This window comes from Homo sapiens, chromosome 4 (assembly GCF_000001405.40).
Source record: "Homo sapiens chromosome 4, GRCh38.p14 Primary Assembly".
Taxonomy (NCBI): Eukaryota; Metazoa; Chordata; class Mammalia; order Primates; family Hominidae; genus Homo; species Homo sapiens.
In genome coordinates, this window is record NC_000004.12 from 8,973,586 (window position 1) to 8,991,074 (window position 17,489).

At 45.8% G+C, this 17,489-nt stretch overlaps 1 pseudogene, besides 2 other annotated features; it reads left to right on the forward strand.

Moving 5' to 3' along the window:
- OR7E111FP (olfactory receptor family 7 subfamily E member 111F pseudogene) lies at nt 7,824-8,830 on the forward strand (annotated as a pseudogene).
- Nucleotides 16,488-16,989: an enhancer, noted in NCBI's record as "H3K4me1 hESC enhancer chr4:8991799-8992300 (GRCh37/hg19 assembly coordinates)". NCBI's record gives its function as "activates a minimal SCP1, AML or CMV promoter by ChIP-STARR-seq in primed H9 embryonic stem cells {active_cell/tissue: H9 hESC(primed)}" and the evidence as "EXISTENCE:reporter gene assay evidence [ECO:0000049][PMID:30033119]".
- Nucleotides 16,990-17,489: an enhancer, noted in NCBI's record as "H3K4me1 hESC enhancer chr4:8992301-8992800 (GRCh37/hg19 assembly coordinates)". NCBI's record gives its function as "activates a minimal SCP1, AML or CMV promoter by ChIP-STARR-seq in primed H9 embryonic stem cells {active_cell/tissue: H9 hESC(primed)}" and the evidence as "EXISTENCE:reporter gene assay evidence [ECO:0000049][PMID:30033119]".

The window sequence follows — 17,489 nt, forward strand, 5'->3', positions numbered from 1 at the left end:
GCCTGTGGTATGTATACTCCCTTTGATCCCGATAACCCTGAAAATCAGCGCATGATTCACATGGCTTTAGTCCGTCAAAGCGCGGAAGACGTTAGAAGAAAACTGCAGAAGCAGGCTGGGCTTGCAGGGAAGAATACATCACATTGATGAGAAATAGCTAAGCAGGTGTTTGTAAACAGGGATGCAGTAAGCCACGAGGGAAAATGCAAAGAGAATGAAGGTCTGGCCCGGCGAAACGCCGACCTGTTTGTTAGCTGCAGCAATCAGAGCTGTCCCCCCCAAAGAAGCAAGGGAAGGGGGGCCCTGGGAAAGAAACTCAGCTTGGATGTCAGAGTTTGCAGTGTAACCAGTGTGCTCATTGTAAAGAAATAGGACAGTGGAAGAACAAATGCCCTCAGCTCAAAAGAAAACAAGATGACTCAGAGCAGGAGGCCCCGGACAAGGAGGAAGGGGCCCTGCTCAACCTGGTAGAAGGGATATTGGACTGAGGGAGACCGGGCTTAAGTGTCCCCAAAGAACCTCTGGTCAGAATGACAGTCGAGGGTAGAGACATTGATTTTCTTGTAGATACCGCTGCTGAACATTCGCTAGTAACCGCCCCGGTCGCCCCCTTATCCAGAAAGACTATTGATGTCATCGGAGCCATGGGGGTTTCAGCAAAGCAAGCTTTCTGCTTGCCTGGGACTTGTACTGTAGGAGGACATCAAGTGATTCATCAGTTTTTGTACATGCCTGACTATCCCTTGCCCTTGTTGGGAAGGGACTTGCTTAGCAAGCTGAGAGCTGCTCTCTCTTTGACAGAACACAGCTCTTTGCTGCTAAAGTTACCCGCCACGGGAGTCATTATGACCCTTACGGTCCCCCAAGAGGAGGAATGGAGCCTTTTGTGAACTGAGGCGGGCCAAGAGAGAAGACCAGCTCTGGCTAAGCGGTAGCCAAGAGTACGGGCAGAAGACAACCCTCCAGGGTTGATCAGTTAAGACTGGGGCCCAGCCGCTTAGGCAAAAACAGGACCCGGTCCCCAGAGAAGCTCTTCAAGGTATCCAGGTCCATCTTAAGCACCTAAGAACTTTTGGTATGATAGTTCCTTGTCAGTCTCCACGGAATACTCCCCTCCTGCCTGTTCCCAAGCCATGGACCAAGGACTACAGGCCGGGACAGGATTCGGGCTTGCTTAGTCAAACTACTCTGACTTTCCATCCAACAGTACCTAGCCCGTCCACATTGTTGGGGTTGCTGCCAGCTGAGGACAGCTGGTTCACCTGCTTGGACCTGAGAGACGCTTTCTTTCCTATCAGATTAGCCCCTGAGAGCCAGAAGCTGTTTGCCTTTCAGTGGGGAGATCCGGAGTCAGGTGTCACTACTCAGTACACTTGGACCGGGCTTCCCCAAGGGTTCAAGGACTCCCCCACCATCTTCAGGGAGGCGTTGGCTCGAGACCTCCGGAAGTTTCCCACCAGAGACCTAGGCTGTGCGTTGCTCCGCTAGGTTGATGAGCTTTTGCTGGGACACCCCACGGCAGTCGGGTGCGCCAAGGGAACGGATTGCCCTACGCCGACACCTGGAGGACTGTGGGTGTAAGCTGTCCAAGAAGAAAGCTCAGATCTGCCGACAGCAGGTACGTTCCTTGGGATTTACTATCCGACGGGGGAACGCAGCCCGGGATCAGAAAGAAAGCAGGTCATTTGCAATCTAGCAGAGCCTAAGAGCAGAAGGCAGGTGAGAGAATTCTTAGGAGCTGTGGGGTTTTGTAGACTGCAGATCCCAAACTTTGCAGTTAGCCAAGCCTTTGTATGAGGTCACAAAGGGGGCGGGGACCGGGAAATTTTTGAATGAGGATCCCAACAACAGCAAGTCTTTCGTGAGTTAAAGGAGAAACTTATGTCAGCCCCAGCCCTGGGGCTACCCGATCTCACAAAGCCTTTTACATCCTATGTGTCAGAGAGAGAGAAAAGATGGCAGCTGGACTTTGAACCCAAACTGTGGGGCCCTGGCCGAGGCCGCTGGCCTACCTCTCTAAACAACTAGACGGGGTTTCTAAAGGACGGCCCCCGTGTTTGAGGGCCTTGGCAGCAACTGCCCTGCTAGTACAAGAAGCAAAGAAGCTGACTCTTGGGCAGAACCTGAACAGAAAGGCCCCCCATGCGTGGTGACTTTAATGAATACTAAAGGACATCATTGACTAACGAATGCCAGACTCACCAAGTACCAGACTTTGCTCTGTGAAAATCCCCGTATAACCATTGAAGTTTGTAACACCCTGCCACCTTGCTCCCGCTGTCAGAGAGCCCTGTCGAACATGATTGTGTAGAAGTGTTGGACTCAGTTGACTCTAGCAGACCTGACATCCGGGACCAGGCTTGGGCATCAGTAGACCGGGAACTATACAAAGATGGGAGCAGCTTCGTCAACACCCAAGGAGAGAGAGGTGCAGGGTATGCAGTTATAATCCTGGACACTGTTGTTGAAGCCAGATCGTTGCCCCAGGGCACTTCAGCCCAGAAAGCTGAACTCATTGCTTTAATTCGGGCCTTAGAACTCCGTGAGGGTGAGACTGTCAACATTTACACTGATTCTCGGTATGTCTTTTGACATACCTTCTAGTGCATGGAGCGTGATAGAAAGAAAAGGGCCTCTTGAACTCTGGGGGGAAAAGCAGAAAATATCAACCAGAAATCTTCCTGTATTAGAAGCAGTATGGAAACCCCACAAGGTAGCAGTTATGCATTGTAGGGGGCACCAGCGAGCTTCCACCTTGGTGGGCTTGGGGAATTCCCGCGCTGACTCAGAGGCTCGAAAAGCAGCATCTGCCCCTTTCCAGGCATCAGTCACATCTCCTCTGCTCCCTCAAGCACCTGATCTTGGACCTGCTTATTCTAAAGAAGAAAAGGACTTTCTCCAGGTAGAGGGCAGGACAAGTGATGGAGGAAGGATGGATTCGGTTAGCAGATGGGAGAGTAGCTGTGCCACAGCTGCGAGGAGCTGCAGTTGTACTGGCTGTGCATGAAACCACCCATCGAGGTCAGGAGTCATTGGAAAAGTTGTTAGGCCAGTATTTCTACATCTCGCGTTTCTCAGCCCTTGCCAAAACGGTGAGGCAGCAATGTGTCAGCTGCCGACAGCATCATGCGAGGCAAGGTCCAGCCATTCCACCCGGCATACAAGCTTATGGAGCAGCCCCCTTTAAAGATCTCCAGGTAGACTTCACAGAGATGCCAAAGTGTGGAGGTAACAAGTATTTACTAGTTCTTGGGCGTACCTACTCTGGGTGGGTGGAGGCTTATCCCACAGGAACTGAGAAAGCTCGTGAAGTAACCCCGTGTACTTCTTCGAGATCTGATTCATAGATTGGGACTGCCCTTCCGGATCGGCTTAGATAACGGGCTGGCGTTTGTGGCTGACTTGCTACAGAAAACGGCAAAAATATTGGGGGATCACACGGAAACTGCATGCCGCCCCCCAGACTCAGTGTTCCGGAAAGGTGGAGCGGATGAATCGGACTATCAAAAATAGTATTATTGTCTTCCCCGCTGGATATGTAAAACAACACCACGAGGGGCGTCAAACCACCTGCTACATTTGAGGGAATGTTACCCTCTCCCCCCGTTCCCCGGCCCCGGATATTAGAGGCAATAACACAGGGTAATGTACACCCACTGCTTTATTGGGAGTAATGTCATCCTCTGCCTTCTTGGATATTAGGAACAATATCACACTGTGCGTGTACGCCTGTCGCGAAATTCAATGGAATGTCGTCCCGTGCCTCCCTGGATATGACGAACAGTATCACGGGGGATGTACAACTTCTGAGATATTGGGAGTGATCTCATCCTCTCCTTTCTGGAAGTTAGGGACAATATCACAGGGGTGGTGTACACATTCTGTGACGTTGGGACTAATATCATCCTCCCGCCCCCTGAATATTAAAAACCATGTCACAAGGGCCGTGAACACACACTTCGATATTGGTATGAATACCATCCTCTCCCTCTTTGGATATTCGGTGCAATATTTCAGGTGGGGTATACACCACCTGCAATATTGGAAGTCATGTTATTTTCTCCCCCACTGGATATTAGAAAGAATATCACAGGGGGGTGTGAACAACCCCTGCGATATTTGGAGTCATATCATCGTCTCCCCTCAAGAATATTAAGAACAATATCTTAGGGGTGGGGGTTGTAAACCCCCTTTCATATTCGATATCATCCTCTTCCCCCTGGATATTAGGAACAATATCAGGAAGGGATGTACAGACCCTGCGACATTTGCTGTCATGTAATTGTCTCTCCCCTAGATATTAGGAAAAATGTCACTGGGGATGTGAACAGCCCTGCTATATTGGGAGTAGTATCATCCCCTCCCCCCTTGCATATTGGGAACAATTTCACTGGTGGGGCGTACTGCCTCTGCGATATTGGGAGTACAATTATCCTCTCTTCCCCTGGATACTAGGAAGGGTATCAGAGGGAGAGGGTGTACATTCCCTGCCATATTCAATGTCACCTTATCCTCTCCCTCCCAGGGTATTCAGAACAATAGGACAGGAGGGGTGTACACCCTCTGCGATATTGGGAGTCATATCATCCTCTTTCGCTCTGGATATGAGGAACAATATCACAGGGTTGTGTACCCCGCCCTGCGATATTGGGAGTAATATCATCCTCTCTCCCTGTGGATATTAGGAAGAGTATCACCGGGCTGTGGAAACCCCCTGCGGTACTGGGAGTAATATCATCCTCTCGCCCTCTGGATACGAGGAAGATTTTCACAGGGGTGTGTACACCCCTTGCGATATTGGGAGTAATATCATCCTCTCCACCCAGGAAATGACTAACAAGGCCACGGGGGGTGTGAACTCCTCCTGCGATATTGGGAGTCATGTCGTCCTCTCCAAACCTGGATGTTAGCAACGAGATTACAGAGGGGGTGTACGCACCCTGCGATATTGGAAGTAATATGATCCTCTCCCCACCTGGATATGGGGAAAGATATCACAGCGCGGGTATACATTTCCTACGCTGTTGGGAGTAATATCATTCTTTTCCTTTCTGGATATTAGGAAGAATATCACAGGAGTGCGGTACAATTATTTCGATATTGGGAGTACTATCATCCTCTATTTTCCTGGATATTGGGCCCAATAACACAAAAAGCTGTACAACCCCTGCGATATTCGAGTAATAGCATACTCTCCTTCCCTGGATGTTAGAAAACAATATCATCAGGGCTGAACACCCCCCGCGATAATGGTAGTAATATTGACTCTTTCACATGCCATTTGGAACAATATCACAGGGGGTGTTTACAAACAGGGTTGGTGTACACCCCCTGTGATATTCGGAGTAACATCATTCTCTCCACCTACTGACATTAAGAACAATATCCCGGCGGGAGGTGGTACACCCCCAGTGATATTGGGAATAATGTCATCCTCTCCTTCCCTGGATATTAGGAACAATATCACAAGGGGATGTACAACTTCCGTGAGATTGGAAGCAATATCATCCTCTCCCCCGCTGGATATTAGAAAAAAATATCATTCAAGTTAGATACCCACTGTGATATTAGGAAGAATATTACAGGGTGCACACCCACTCTGACTTTAGGAGAAATAGCTCCCTTAAATGTCACAAATAATACCACAGGGTATACAGTGATATCTCCCTAGGATATTACAAATACTATCACAAGGTGTACACCCACTGTGATAACAGGAGTAGTACGTCCCAAGGATACTACCAAGAATATTACAAGGCTGTACACCCACTATGACATAAGAAGTGATATCTCCCTACGGTATTACGAATAACATCACAGAATGTACACCTATGGTGTGCACCCACGGTGATATTAGGTGTAATATCAACCCAGGACATAACCAATAAGACCACAGGGAGTACATAAATGATGTACACCCACAGTGATGTTATGAGAACTATCTCTCTAGGATAATACGAATAACATCACAGAGTGGACACACATGGTATACACCCTATGTGGCACTAGGACTAATAACTTTCTAAGATATTACCAATAGCGTCACAGAATAGAAACACATGGTGTACACCCACTGTAACACTAGGTGTAATTTCTCCCTAGGATATTACCAATAACATCACAGGATGTCCACCCATGGTGTACACGCACTGTGATGTTAGGGATAATATCTCCCTGGGATACGATGAATAATGCCACAGGGTGTACAGAAACTGTGATATTAGAGGTAATATCTCTAATATCACAGCGTGTACGCCCACTGTGATAGTGGGAGCAATATCTCTCTAGGATAGTACAAATAATATCACAGAGTGTACACCCACTGTGATATTAGGAGAAATATCTCTCTGGGATATCACGAATTATATCACAGAGTGTACACACATGATGTACATCCACTTTGATATTAGGAGTAATATCTTCCTAGGACATTACAAATAACCTCACAGAGTGTACACCCACTGTAATACTAGGAATCGTATCACCCTGGGGGATCACCAATAATATCACAGGGTGTACACCCACTGTGATATGAGGAGTAATATCTTCCTAGGGTATTACGAATAATTTCACAGTCTGTACGCACAAGGTGTACACTCACGGTGATATTAAGAGTAACTTCTACCTAGTGGATGACAAATAACATCGCAGGGTGTACACCCACTTTGATATTAGCTGTAATATTGTTCTAAGTTGTTACAAATAAGATCACAGGGTGTACAAACATGGTGTACACTCACTGTGATATCAGGAGTCGTATCTCCATAATATATTATGAATAATATCACAGGGTGTACACCCACTGTATTATTAGGAGTAATATCTCTGTAGGATATTACAATTAAGATCACAGGGTGTAGAGCCAGCGTGATATTAGGAGCAATATCTTTCTAGGATAATACAAATAATATCACAGGGTGTACGCCCACTCTGCTGTCAGGAGCAATATCTCCCTAGCATATCAAAAATCCTATCACAGGGTGTCCAATCTCTGCCTTCCATGTTCTAAGGGATTCTCGTGCTTCAGCCTCCCGAGTAGCTAGGGTTACCCGCTACCACGCCCGGCTATATTTTTTTTATTTTCACTGGAGACGGGGTTTCACCACGTTGGCCAGGCTGGTCTGGAACTCCTGACCTCAGGTGATCCATCAGCCTCGGCCGCCCAAAGTGCTGAGATTACGGGTGTGAGCCATGGCGCTCAGCCAAGAGTTATATATTCAATTCATTTGGAAACACAGCTCCCATATTTGAGTGTGCATGTCCTTTTTTGAAGAAATGATGTCAGAAAACCGAAGGATGATAATAAATATGAAAAGTAACAGGCATGTGAAAAGGTCTTCCGATTAAGAACTCTAAGTTTCGATTTCGTTTTTAGATAATGGAGTCCTAGCTCTTGTGTCGTCCTTTTACATATTCTACATCAAAGGAATTTGTAGCACGGTGTCAGAATAAAGTAGAGTGTATTTCACGGCTTCTTAATTTCTTTCAACTAGACTGAGATCTTTTTCTTCAAGAGAGAAGAACATTTTCATTGCATTCTATTTATTTCTGAAAAGAGTAGGCCGTATTTTACTGAGATCACGGATTTGTTATATATGACGTTTTGATCTTCTAACATTCTTCAGTGGATTTTCTCTGAAGTAGTGTGTACAGAAAGAGTTGAATAGCAAAAAAGTAAATCATGTCATAATTCTGAGATTTTTGGATTTGTCACAACTGAGAAACATTGCTGGCGGTGTATGGTCCGCAAGTGTGAAAATGTTCCTTGTGAATTGCTTGCATCCAAAATATACACACAGCATTAAGGGATGGTTTTTATCTTTTATTTTTCCAATCCTCTTTTCTTCCCAAGGTGTCCAAGTCACACAAAGCCACGGAATCTCACAGGTGTCTGAGAATTCCTCCTCCTGGGACTCTCAGAGGATCCAGAACTGCAGCCCATCCTGGCTGGGCTGTCCCTGTCCATGTATCTGGTCACGGTGCTGAGGAACCTGCTCATCATCCTGGCTGTCAGCTCTGACTCCCACCTCCACACTCCCATGTGCTTCTTCCTCTCCAACCTGTGCTGGGCTGACATCGGTTTCACCTCGGCCACGGTTCCTAAGATGATTGTGGACATGCAGTCGCATAGCAGAGTCATCTCTTATGAGGGCTGCCTGACAAGGATGTCTTTCTTGGTCCTTTTTGCATGTACAGAAGACATGCTTCTGACTGTGATGGCCTATGACTGCTTTGTAGCCATCTGTCGCCCTCTGCACTACCCAGTCATCGTGAATCCTCACCTCTGTGTCTTTTTCATTTTGGTGTCCTTTTTCCTTAGCCTGTTGGATTCCCAGCTGCACAGTTAGGTTGTATTACAATTCACCTTCTTCAATAATGTGGAAATCTCTAATTTTGTCTGTGAGCCATCTCAACTTGTCAACCTTGCCAGTTCTGACAGCGTCGTCAATAGCATATTCATATATTTCGATAGTACTATGTTTGGTTTTCTTCCCATTTTAGGGGTCCTTTTGTCTCACTATAAAATTGTCCCCTCCATTCTAAGGATTTCATCGTCAGATGGGAAGTATAAAGTCTTCGCTACCTGTGGCTCTCACCTGGCAGTTGTTTGCTGATTTGATGGAACAGGCATTGACATGTACCTGACTTCAGCTGTGTCACCACCCCACAGGAATGGTGTGGTGGCATCAGTGATGTATGCTGTTTTCACCCCCATGCTGAACCCTTTCATCTACAGCCTGAGAAACAGGGACATACAAAGTGCCCTGCGGAGGCTGCTCAGCAGAACAGTCGAATCTCATGATCTGTTCCATCCTTTTTCTTCTGTGGGTGAGAAAGGGCAACCACATTAAATCCCTACATCTGCAAATCCTGCCCCTTAGTCACATTCTTTTTGTGGCTTGACGGCTTTTATTCCTTTCCGTATTTCCTTTGTGAATATTGCTTTCTTCGTTATGCCTTTCACTGGAATGGGTGAGGATTCTGGGATCCTTTGTTTAGCAGAAACCTCATGACAGAATCCTCTATGCCTAGGCGGCCTCCTTTAGTTTCTGAGCAATAACTCTGTCATCCAGGTGGAATCACAACCATCTTTTTATGTACACGAAGTCCTCATTTCGTTTTGGAATTCCCTGAAAACTGAATTTATGGAGACAATGTACAGGAGGTCCTCCAACACCATTGGTGCGTTCAAGGTTGTGTAGTTATAATGTTGGTGAGGAATAAGTGGTTTCATTATACCTAATTTTGCTTAAAGGTGAAGTTTCCAAGAGACTTCCAAAGATGTTAAGTGAGGACATACTGTACATCAAATTCATATCCTCTTCCACAGTTCTTGTGGAATTTCTTTATAAACTGCTTCTAGAGAAACTATTTAGGCTGGTTATGTGTAGAGATCCATGTCACCGGTCCTCAATCTTGGCTTTGAGTCAACTCACCTGGGGAGCTTACAAATGATGAGGCCTGGGTCTCATTACCTGAGATTCTGATTTCTCTGCACCTGTGTGAGCATGTGGATTTTTTTTTTTTTTTTTTTAAAGCACCAGAGGTGATTCCAATGCCGAAGATTTTAGAGGCATCAAGCTCCAATGAGTAAGAACAGAAGTTAATTGTAATATGATTTCTTCAAATATTATCTTCAAATGCATTGTCCATCAATACCATACAAATGTTTATTATGCTGTTGTTTCTTACCATTTAGCTTTTTCTATGTTTTTCTTTTTCTTTTTTTTTTTCTTTTTGAGGCAGAGTTTCACTCTTGTTGCCCAGGTTGGAGTGCAATGGGACGATCTCGGCTCACTGCAACCTCTGCCTCCCGTATCCAAGCGATTCTCCTATCTCAGCCTTCAAGTAGCTGGGATTACAGGCATGCGCTACCATGCCCGGCTAATTTTATTTTGTTTTGTTTTGGTATTTTTAATATAGACAGTGGTTCCCCATATTGGTCAGGCTGGTCTTGAACTCCCGACCTCAGGTGATCCGCCCGCTTCCGCCTCCCAATGTTCTGGGATTACAGGCGTGAGCGAGTGCGCCCAGCCACCACTTAGCATTTTCATTTTACATTTGTTGAAATTATAGATTTATACACACTTTGATTGCTGCTTTGTTATACACTTGCATATTCATAAGATGGGAAATAGAAAAGAATAAAATGGGCACAGTATCCCTGAAGTTTCACATTCCGAGACATGTTAAAAATATTTGCTTTTTAGAAATTTGTTTCAATTGATAAACTGTGGTATACACACACAATGAAGTACTATTTAGCCTAAAAAGGAATAAACAAAATCCTCTCCACTGCAGACAAAATGGATGAGATTGCAGGTCTGTATATTAAGTGAAATAAGCCAGGCACAGAATGACAAATACTTCATATCCTCACTTCTATGTAGGAACAAAAAAGAAAATCTTGGCCAGTTGTGGTGGCTCAGGCCTGGAATCCCAGCACTGTGGGAGGCCGAGTCGCAAGGATCACTTGAGACCAGGAGTTTGAGATCCGCCTGGCCAACATGGTAAAACCCCGTCTCTACTGAAAACACAAACAATTAGCCGGACGTGGTGACGCGTGCCTGTAGTCTCAGCTACTCGGAGGGCTGAGGCCCAAGAAGCGCTTGAACTCGGGAGGCGGAGCTTGCAGTGAGCCTGGATTGTGCCTGTGTACTCCAACTGGGCAACAGAAAGAGACTCCATCACACACCTACACACAAAAGGAATCTCAGGAAGGTGGAAAATATAAAGGTTGTTAGCAGACGCTAGGAAGAAAAGGGGTGGGATGGGGAATGAAGAGAAGTGGATAATTGGGTCCCAAAATACAGAAGGATGGAACAACTGAGTCCTAGTGTTTGATAGCACAGTATGAAAATTTTAGTTCACAGGAATTTCTTGCATATTTCCAGATGCTTTGGTGAGAAGCTTCCTAACTTTCTCATTATGCTGGTTTTTCAGCTATTCTCTTTCTGCTATCGAAATCATGCTGCAGTTTTTGTTTTTGTTTTTTTGTTTTGAGACAGAGTTTCACTCTTGTTGCCCAGGCTGGAGTGTCATGGTGCAATCTTGGCTCACCACAACTTCTGCCTCCTAGGTTCAAGCGATTCTCCTGCCTCCATCTCCCGAGCAGCTGGCATGCCCCAGCACGCCCAGCTAATGTTGTATTTGTAGTAGAGAAGGGGGGTTTCTTCCTGTGTGTCAGGCTGGTCTTGAACTCCTGACCTCAGGTGATCCGCCCGCCTCGGCCTCCCAAAGTGCTTGGATTACAGGCGTGAGCGACCGCGCCCGGCCCATGCTGCATCCTTATCTGTTGTCTGTTGTTGTTTGTCTGTTTTTGTGCCCAGACATAACTTCTCACCTATATGTTCAAATGATTTTCAACATGAGTGCTAAGAAAGTCCATTGGTGGAAAAGCAGCCTTTTCAAGAAATGGTGTTGGAGAAACTTGATTTCCACCTGCAGAAGAATGAAGGTGGACTCTGTGTCACAACAGGTGCAAAAATTAACACAAACTGGATCAAAGACCTAACCCCAAGTGCTGAAAGTATAATATGCCTCAAAGAAAACATTGGCCACACTTTCATGACATCAGATTGGGCAATGCTTTCTGGGATATGACACCAAAAGCATAGACAACAAAAGAAAATTAGATTCCTTGGATGATATCTAAATGACAGACACTTTTGTGCATCAGCAAACACTGTGAACTGAGTGAAAAGATAACCCATGGAATAGGAAAAAGATTTGCAAATCATATCTCTGAAAAGAGGCTGATATGCATCATAAACAAAGAACAGCTACAAATGAACAATCAGAAACCCAAAGCACCCCATTAACAATGGTCAGAAGACTCGAGTAGACTTGTTCCTAAAGAAGATATAGCAATGGTCAATAAGCGTCTAAAATGATGTTCAAAATCACTCATCATAGGGAAGCGCAAATCAAACCAAGAATGCCATACCACACATTAGGATGGATATGATAAACAAACAAGCATTGGTGAGACTAGAGGGAAGTAGGAATGTTCGAATCTGATTGGAGGGAATGTAAAACCGTGAAGGAACAGGGAAAATACTATGGCGTGTGCTGCAAAAAGTAGAAACAGGATTATCAGATGTTCCCGCAGTTGCACTTGTGGGTGCCTGCCAAAAAAAATTAGAAGCCAGGAGTGGAAGAGAGATTTGTACACCCAAATTCATAGCGGCATTATTCACAATAGCCAAAATGAGGAAGCAACCCAAGGGTTCGTGGACAGATGAATGAAAAAGCACACTGCAGTTCATTCATGCGATGGAAGACTATTCAGCCTTCAAAAGGCAGGCACTTCTGGCCGGTGTGGTGGCTCACGCCTGTAATCCCAGCATCTTCGAAGACCGAAGTGGGCGGATCACCTGAGGTCAGGAATTCAAGACCAGCCTGGCCATCTTGGTGAAACCATGTCTCTACTGAAAATGCAAAAAATGAGACGAGCGTGGTGGCGTGTGCCTATTGTCCCAGCTACTCGGGAGGCAGAGGCACAAGAATCGGTGGAACCCGGGAGGCGGAGGTTGCAGTGAACCCAGATTGTGCCACTGCACTCCAGCCTGTGCGATAGAGTGAGACTCCAAGGAAACACAAAACAAAACAAAGTCAAACGAACAAACAAACAAAAAACGAACAAACAAACAAAAAACAAACAAACAAAAAAAACAAAGAGGCACTTCTGACGCATGCCGCAACATGGATGAACCTTGTAAACATTATCTTCAGTGAAATAAATGAATCCCAAAAGGATAAACACGCCCATGCTCAGTGGCTCGCACCTGTAACCCCAGCACTTTCGGAGGCTGAGCCACGCGGATCACTTCAGGTCAGGAGTTGGAGACCAGCCTGGCCAATATGGTCTCTATTAAAAATACAAAAATTAGCTGGGCGTGGTGGCGCACGCCTGTAATCCCAGCTACTCCAGAGACTGAGACACAAGAATCGCTTGAACCCACGATGTGGAGGTTGCAGTGAGCCGAGATCATGCCACTGCACTCCAGCCTGGGTGACAGAGAAAGACTCTGTCTCCAAAACAAGAAAATTAAACACGGTATGATTCCACTTATCTATCAAGTGTCTAGAGTAGTTAAACTCATAGAGTTGCAAACTAGAAAGGTGGCCCCCAGTGGTGGGCGAGAGAGAGGAGTGGAGAGCTTGGTGAATGGGTGCAATTTCCATTTTGAAAGATAAAACTGTTCCGGAGATGATGACAGTGATGGTTGCTAAACAATGTGAACGTACTTAATGTCATGAAGCTGTAAACTGAAAAAGCGTGGAAACTGTAAGTGTTTATACTGGCCATTCTATATGAACTAATATATAGTTATAATTTTTAATATTTATACGTGGTATATTTTCCCATAATAAAAGATGAAAATTAAAGCAGTTGGATGTTTAAAAAGAAAAGAAAGAAGTGAAGAATACACACCAGCTTTCTCCTGATTAGAGGAAGAGCCCCAAATCTTCTATGGACACTCACTTTTCTCTTCTTCTTCTTGCTTTATTATGAGGAAATCCTTAGAGGTTGGGGAACTTGGGCGACTTTGACTAATGAGGAGCTCTGTGCCTTGAGCCCCCCAGGCCACAGAACAGTAAATAGTCAGTCTGTGACTCCAGCCCTGCAGTGTGAGGTTGCAGTCCTGTGGGCTCCACAGACATCACCTGTATCAGGAGGCTCATGTCTTACCGTGTCTTCTTGCCAGCCTCGAGGACGGAGTCTGAGCCTCCATGGTGCACCACACAGGGAGGACAGTGGACCTGTTCTCCGTGGTCATGGCTCAGAAGAGGGGAAGGGCAGTTCAGTGAGTGTAGGCAAAAGAAAGAGCGATCAGACTCTTACTGTGTCTATGTAGAAAGGAAAGACATAAGAGACTCCATTTTGAAAAAGGCCTGTACTTTCAACAATTGCTTTGCAGAGATGTTGTTAATCTGTAGCTTTGCCCCAGTCACTTTGAACCAACCACTTTGACCCAACCTGAATTTCACAAAAGCATGTGTTTTATGAAATCAAGGTTTAAGGGATCTAGGGCTGTACAGGACGTGCCTTGTTAACAAGATGTTTCCAAGCAGTATACTTGGTAAAAGTCATTGCCATTCTCTAGTCTCAATAAACCAGGGGCATAATACACTGTGGAAAGCCTCAGGGATCTCTGCCCTTGAAAGCGGCATATTGTCCAAGGTTTCTCCCCATGTGATAGTCTGAAAAGTGGCCTTGTGGGAGGAGAAAGACCTGACCGTCCCCAAGCCCGACACCAGTAAAGGGTCTGTGCTGAAGTGGATTAGTCAAAGAGGAAAGCCTCTTGTAGTTGAGAGAGAGGAAGGCCACTGTCTCCTGCCTGGCCATGGAAACTGAATGTCTTGGTATAACACCCGATTGTACATTTGTTCAATTCTGAGATGGGGGTAAAACCGCCCTATTGTGGGAGGTGAGACACGTTTTCAGCAATGCTACCTTGTTATTCTTTACCCCACTGAGATGTTTGGATGGAGAGAAACATAAATCTTGCTTAGAGACACGTCCAGTCATAGTACCTTCCCTTGAACTTCCTTATGACTTGTATTGCTCACAAGTTCGTTGCTGACCTTCTCCTTATTATCACCCTGCCCTCCTACTACATTCCTTTTTGCTAAAATAATAAAAATAATAATCAATAAAAACTGAGAGAACTCAGAGGCCTGTGCCTGTGCAGGTCCTTGGTATGCTGAGCGCCGGTCCCCTAGGCCAACTGTTGTTTCTCCATACTTTGTCTCTGTGTCTTATTTCTTTTCTCAGTCTCTCGTCCCACCCGACTAGAAATACCAACAGGTGTGGAGGGACAGGCCACCCATTCAAGTGAGTGCTGAGGGACGGTCGGGAGCCTTGTTTGTTTCCTCCTCCTCAGGACAAACAGGAGAGTGCGGTGGGCAGATGGGAGGAGATCAATATGCAAACTCCTTGCTCAGCTGACTGTGGAGTTTCTGTTCTTTGTTGTGCTGGGGGGTCTCAGAAATCTTATTGAAAATTTTTCTTTCCTCCCCCACTGGTTGTCCTTTTCATAGACATCTCACCCATGGTAGCAGGGAATCAGTCCCTCTAAACTATTCCCTAAGAACAACAAAGAGATTATGAAGGTAATGATGAGGATAAAGAGGATGACGACAGACACCATGGCATCATGAACCCTTACTGAGGGTTTCCTACAGACCAGGCTCTGAGCTCTGTGCTCTATGCAGCTTGCTTCATTTCATCTGCATAGTCTCCATGTTATTAGTGCACATTTCATGATGATTTTACAGACTAGAAAAGGCGCAACGGATTTTCATGTAGCTTGTACCAGATCACGAAGTCAAAAAGGGTGAAGTCCAATTTGAACCAGGCAGTCTAAGTCCAGACACATGGCATTTGGCCGGTCCTCTCCCTGCATCCAACCTGCCCTCTCAAATCCTCGTCACTCAGGCGGATGCCGCTGCTCACTGTGCCCTTCCCTTTGGGGGTTCCTTGTAGACCACAACTAGACCAGTGGGTGCCACAATCACTGTGTCATGTATAGAAAGGGCAGCTGCGATCACATCAAGGATTCCAGAAAGAATTGGCACAGGATCATTCGGGACGCATCTCTCTCTTGCCGCTGTTCCTGGCTTTCCTTACAGCTGTCGACTTCCCCAAAGGAGTCATCAATTCGGAGTTTGGCTTCCATTCCTATTGAAGAAGCTGGAAAGTGTTTCAAAAATGCTCCTCTGATGTGCCTGTGCTTAAGACCTCTGAGCTCTGCTTAAAACTTTTTGAAGCTGGGCGCGGTGGCTCACGCGTGTAATCCCAGCCCTTGGGAGGCTGAGGCAGGCGAATCACAAAGTCAGGAGTTCGAGACCAGCCTGGCCAACATGGTGAAACCCTGTCTCTACTAAAAATACAAAAAAAAAAAAAAAAATTAGCCAGGCATGGTGGCGTATGCCTGTAATCCCAGCTACTGGGGAGGCTGAGGCAGGAGACTCCTTTGAAGCCAGGAGACAGAGGTTGCAGTGAACCGAGATCATGCCACTGCACTCCAGCCTGGGCAACAGAGCAAGACTCTGTCTTAAAAAATTAAATAAATAAAAACTACGAAAAAATGTGCTTGGATGGGCTTGGCCAACTTTAGCCATTAGCTCACATACCACTTTGGAAGGGCATAACTTCAGTCACTTCACCCTTTAATCCCTTTGCTCAAGACTAAAGTTCCGAGAGGAAGTCTAATCGGCTGAGTTGTGTCCATGTGGGCAGTGCAGGAAAGGGTGCAGTGGGAGGCGGCTCCAGGGACGTCTTTGGCTTCCATCATGGGGGAGCAAGCGCCTGGATTATCCACCCTAACAAATCTGGACAAAGGAAAACGAGGTTCTCTGAGGAAGGAGACATAGAGCCCAAGGAGCTAACCAAGAGACAAATAGTCATCCTGTCTTGTCATTTTCTTTTACACATGTGTGTACATTATCTTACACTTATCACTTTGTTTTCTTTCTCTCCTTTAATTGCACCCTGTTGCCAAAAGTTAAAATAAAATGAAAGTATTGAGATAGCTCAGTAACTGACTTTTGGTCAATTGCCTTTTCATATAGTGAATAGCTGCCCAAACGATTGTCTCTGTCACTGTGCAAATTTGCAAGCGTTTGCATGATCACTCCCAATCCCCCAATACAGGGCTGTGTTACAGCACAATTTAGTTCAGTGTTTTGCTCTCTGCAACAGGGAGGTTCTCATCCATTACAGGTTGCAGTAAAAACAGGGGTACCATAAGCAACCACCTCTTTCCTCAACGATGAGATGAAAGCAAAAGCCAAGTAGCTCCATATATCCAACTTAAAAATATAAAAAGTTACACCCGTGGGCTGCAATTGGAGCTATGGCGGCGGCAGCTGTCTCTGGGTCTAGCCCGGGGTGTGGACCTGGGGACTCCCCAGAAGGGCCCGATGGGGAGGCTCACGGAGCGTCGGTGGAAGGCGCACAGGATGCTAAAGCTTTACAATGGTCTCTCGGAAGGGGAGGGGGTGGGACTCCCCTCGGGGCCCGACCCCCTGGACCCCACTGATCTGAACGGGGCGCACTTCGACCCGGAAGTTTACCTAGACAAGCTGCCTAGAGAGTGCCCTCTGGCCCAGCTGATGGACAGTGAGACGGACATGGTGCAGCAGATCCGGGCTCTAGACAGCGACATGCAAACCCTGGTCTATGAGAACTACGATAAGTTCATCCCAGCCACAGAAATTGACAAACAGCATACAACTCTATGAGGAATTGCAGGAGACCCAGAATTTCCCAAATAACCTTGTAAAAGAAGAACAAAGTTGGAAGACTCACAATATATATATATATATATAAAGTTGTGTTTTCGTTCAGTTGTAAATGTTTAGTAATTTCTATTGTGATTTTTCATTTAATTCATGAAAGGATATTTTTAATTTTCCAAATGTATGCTTGTGTTTAGCTATCTTCTTGCTTTTGACTTCTAATTTTATTGCATTATGGT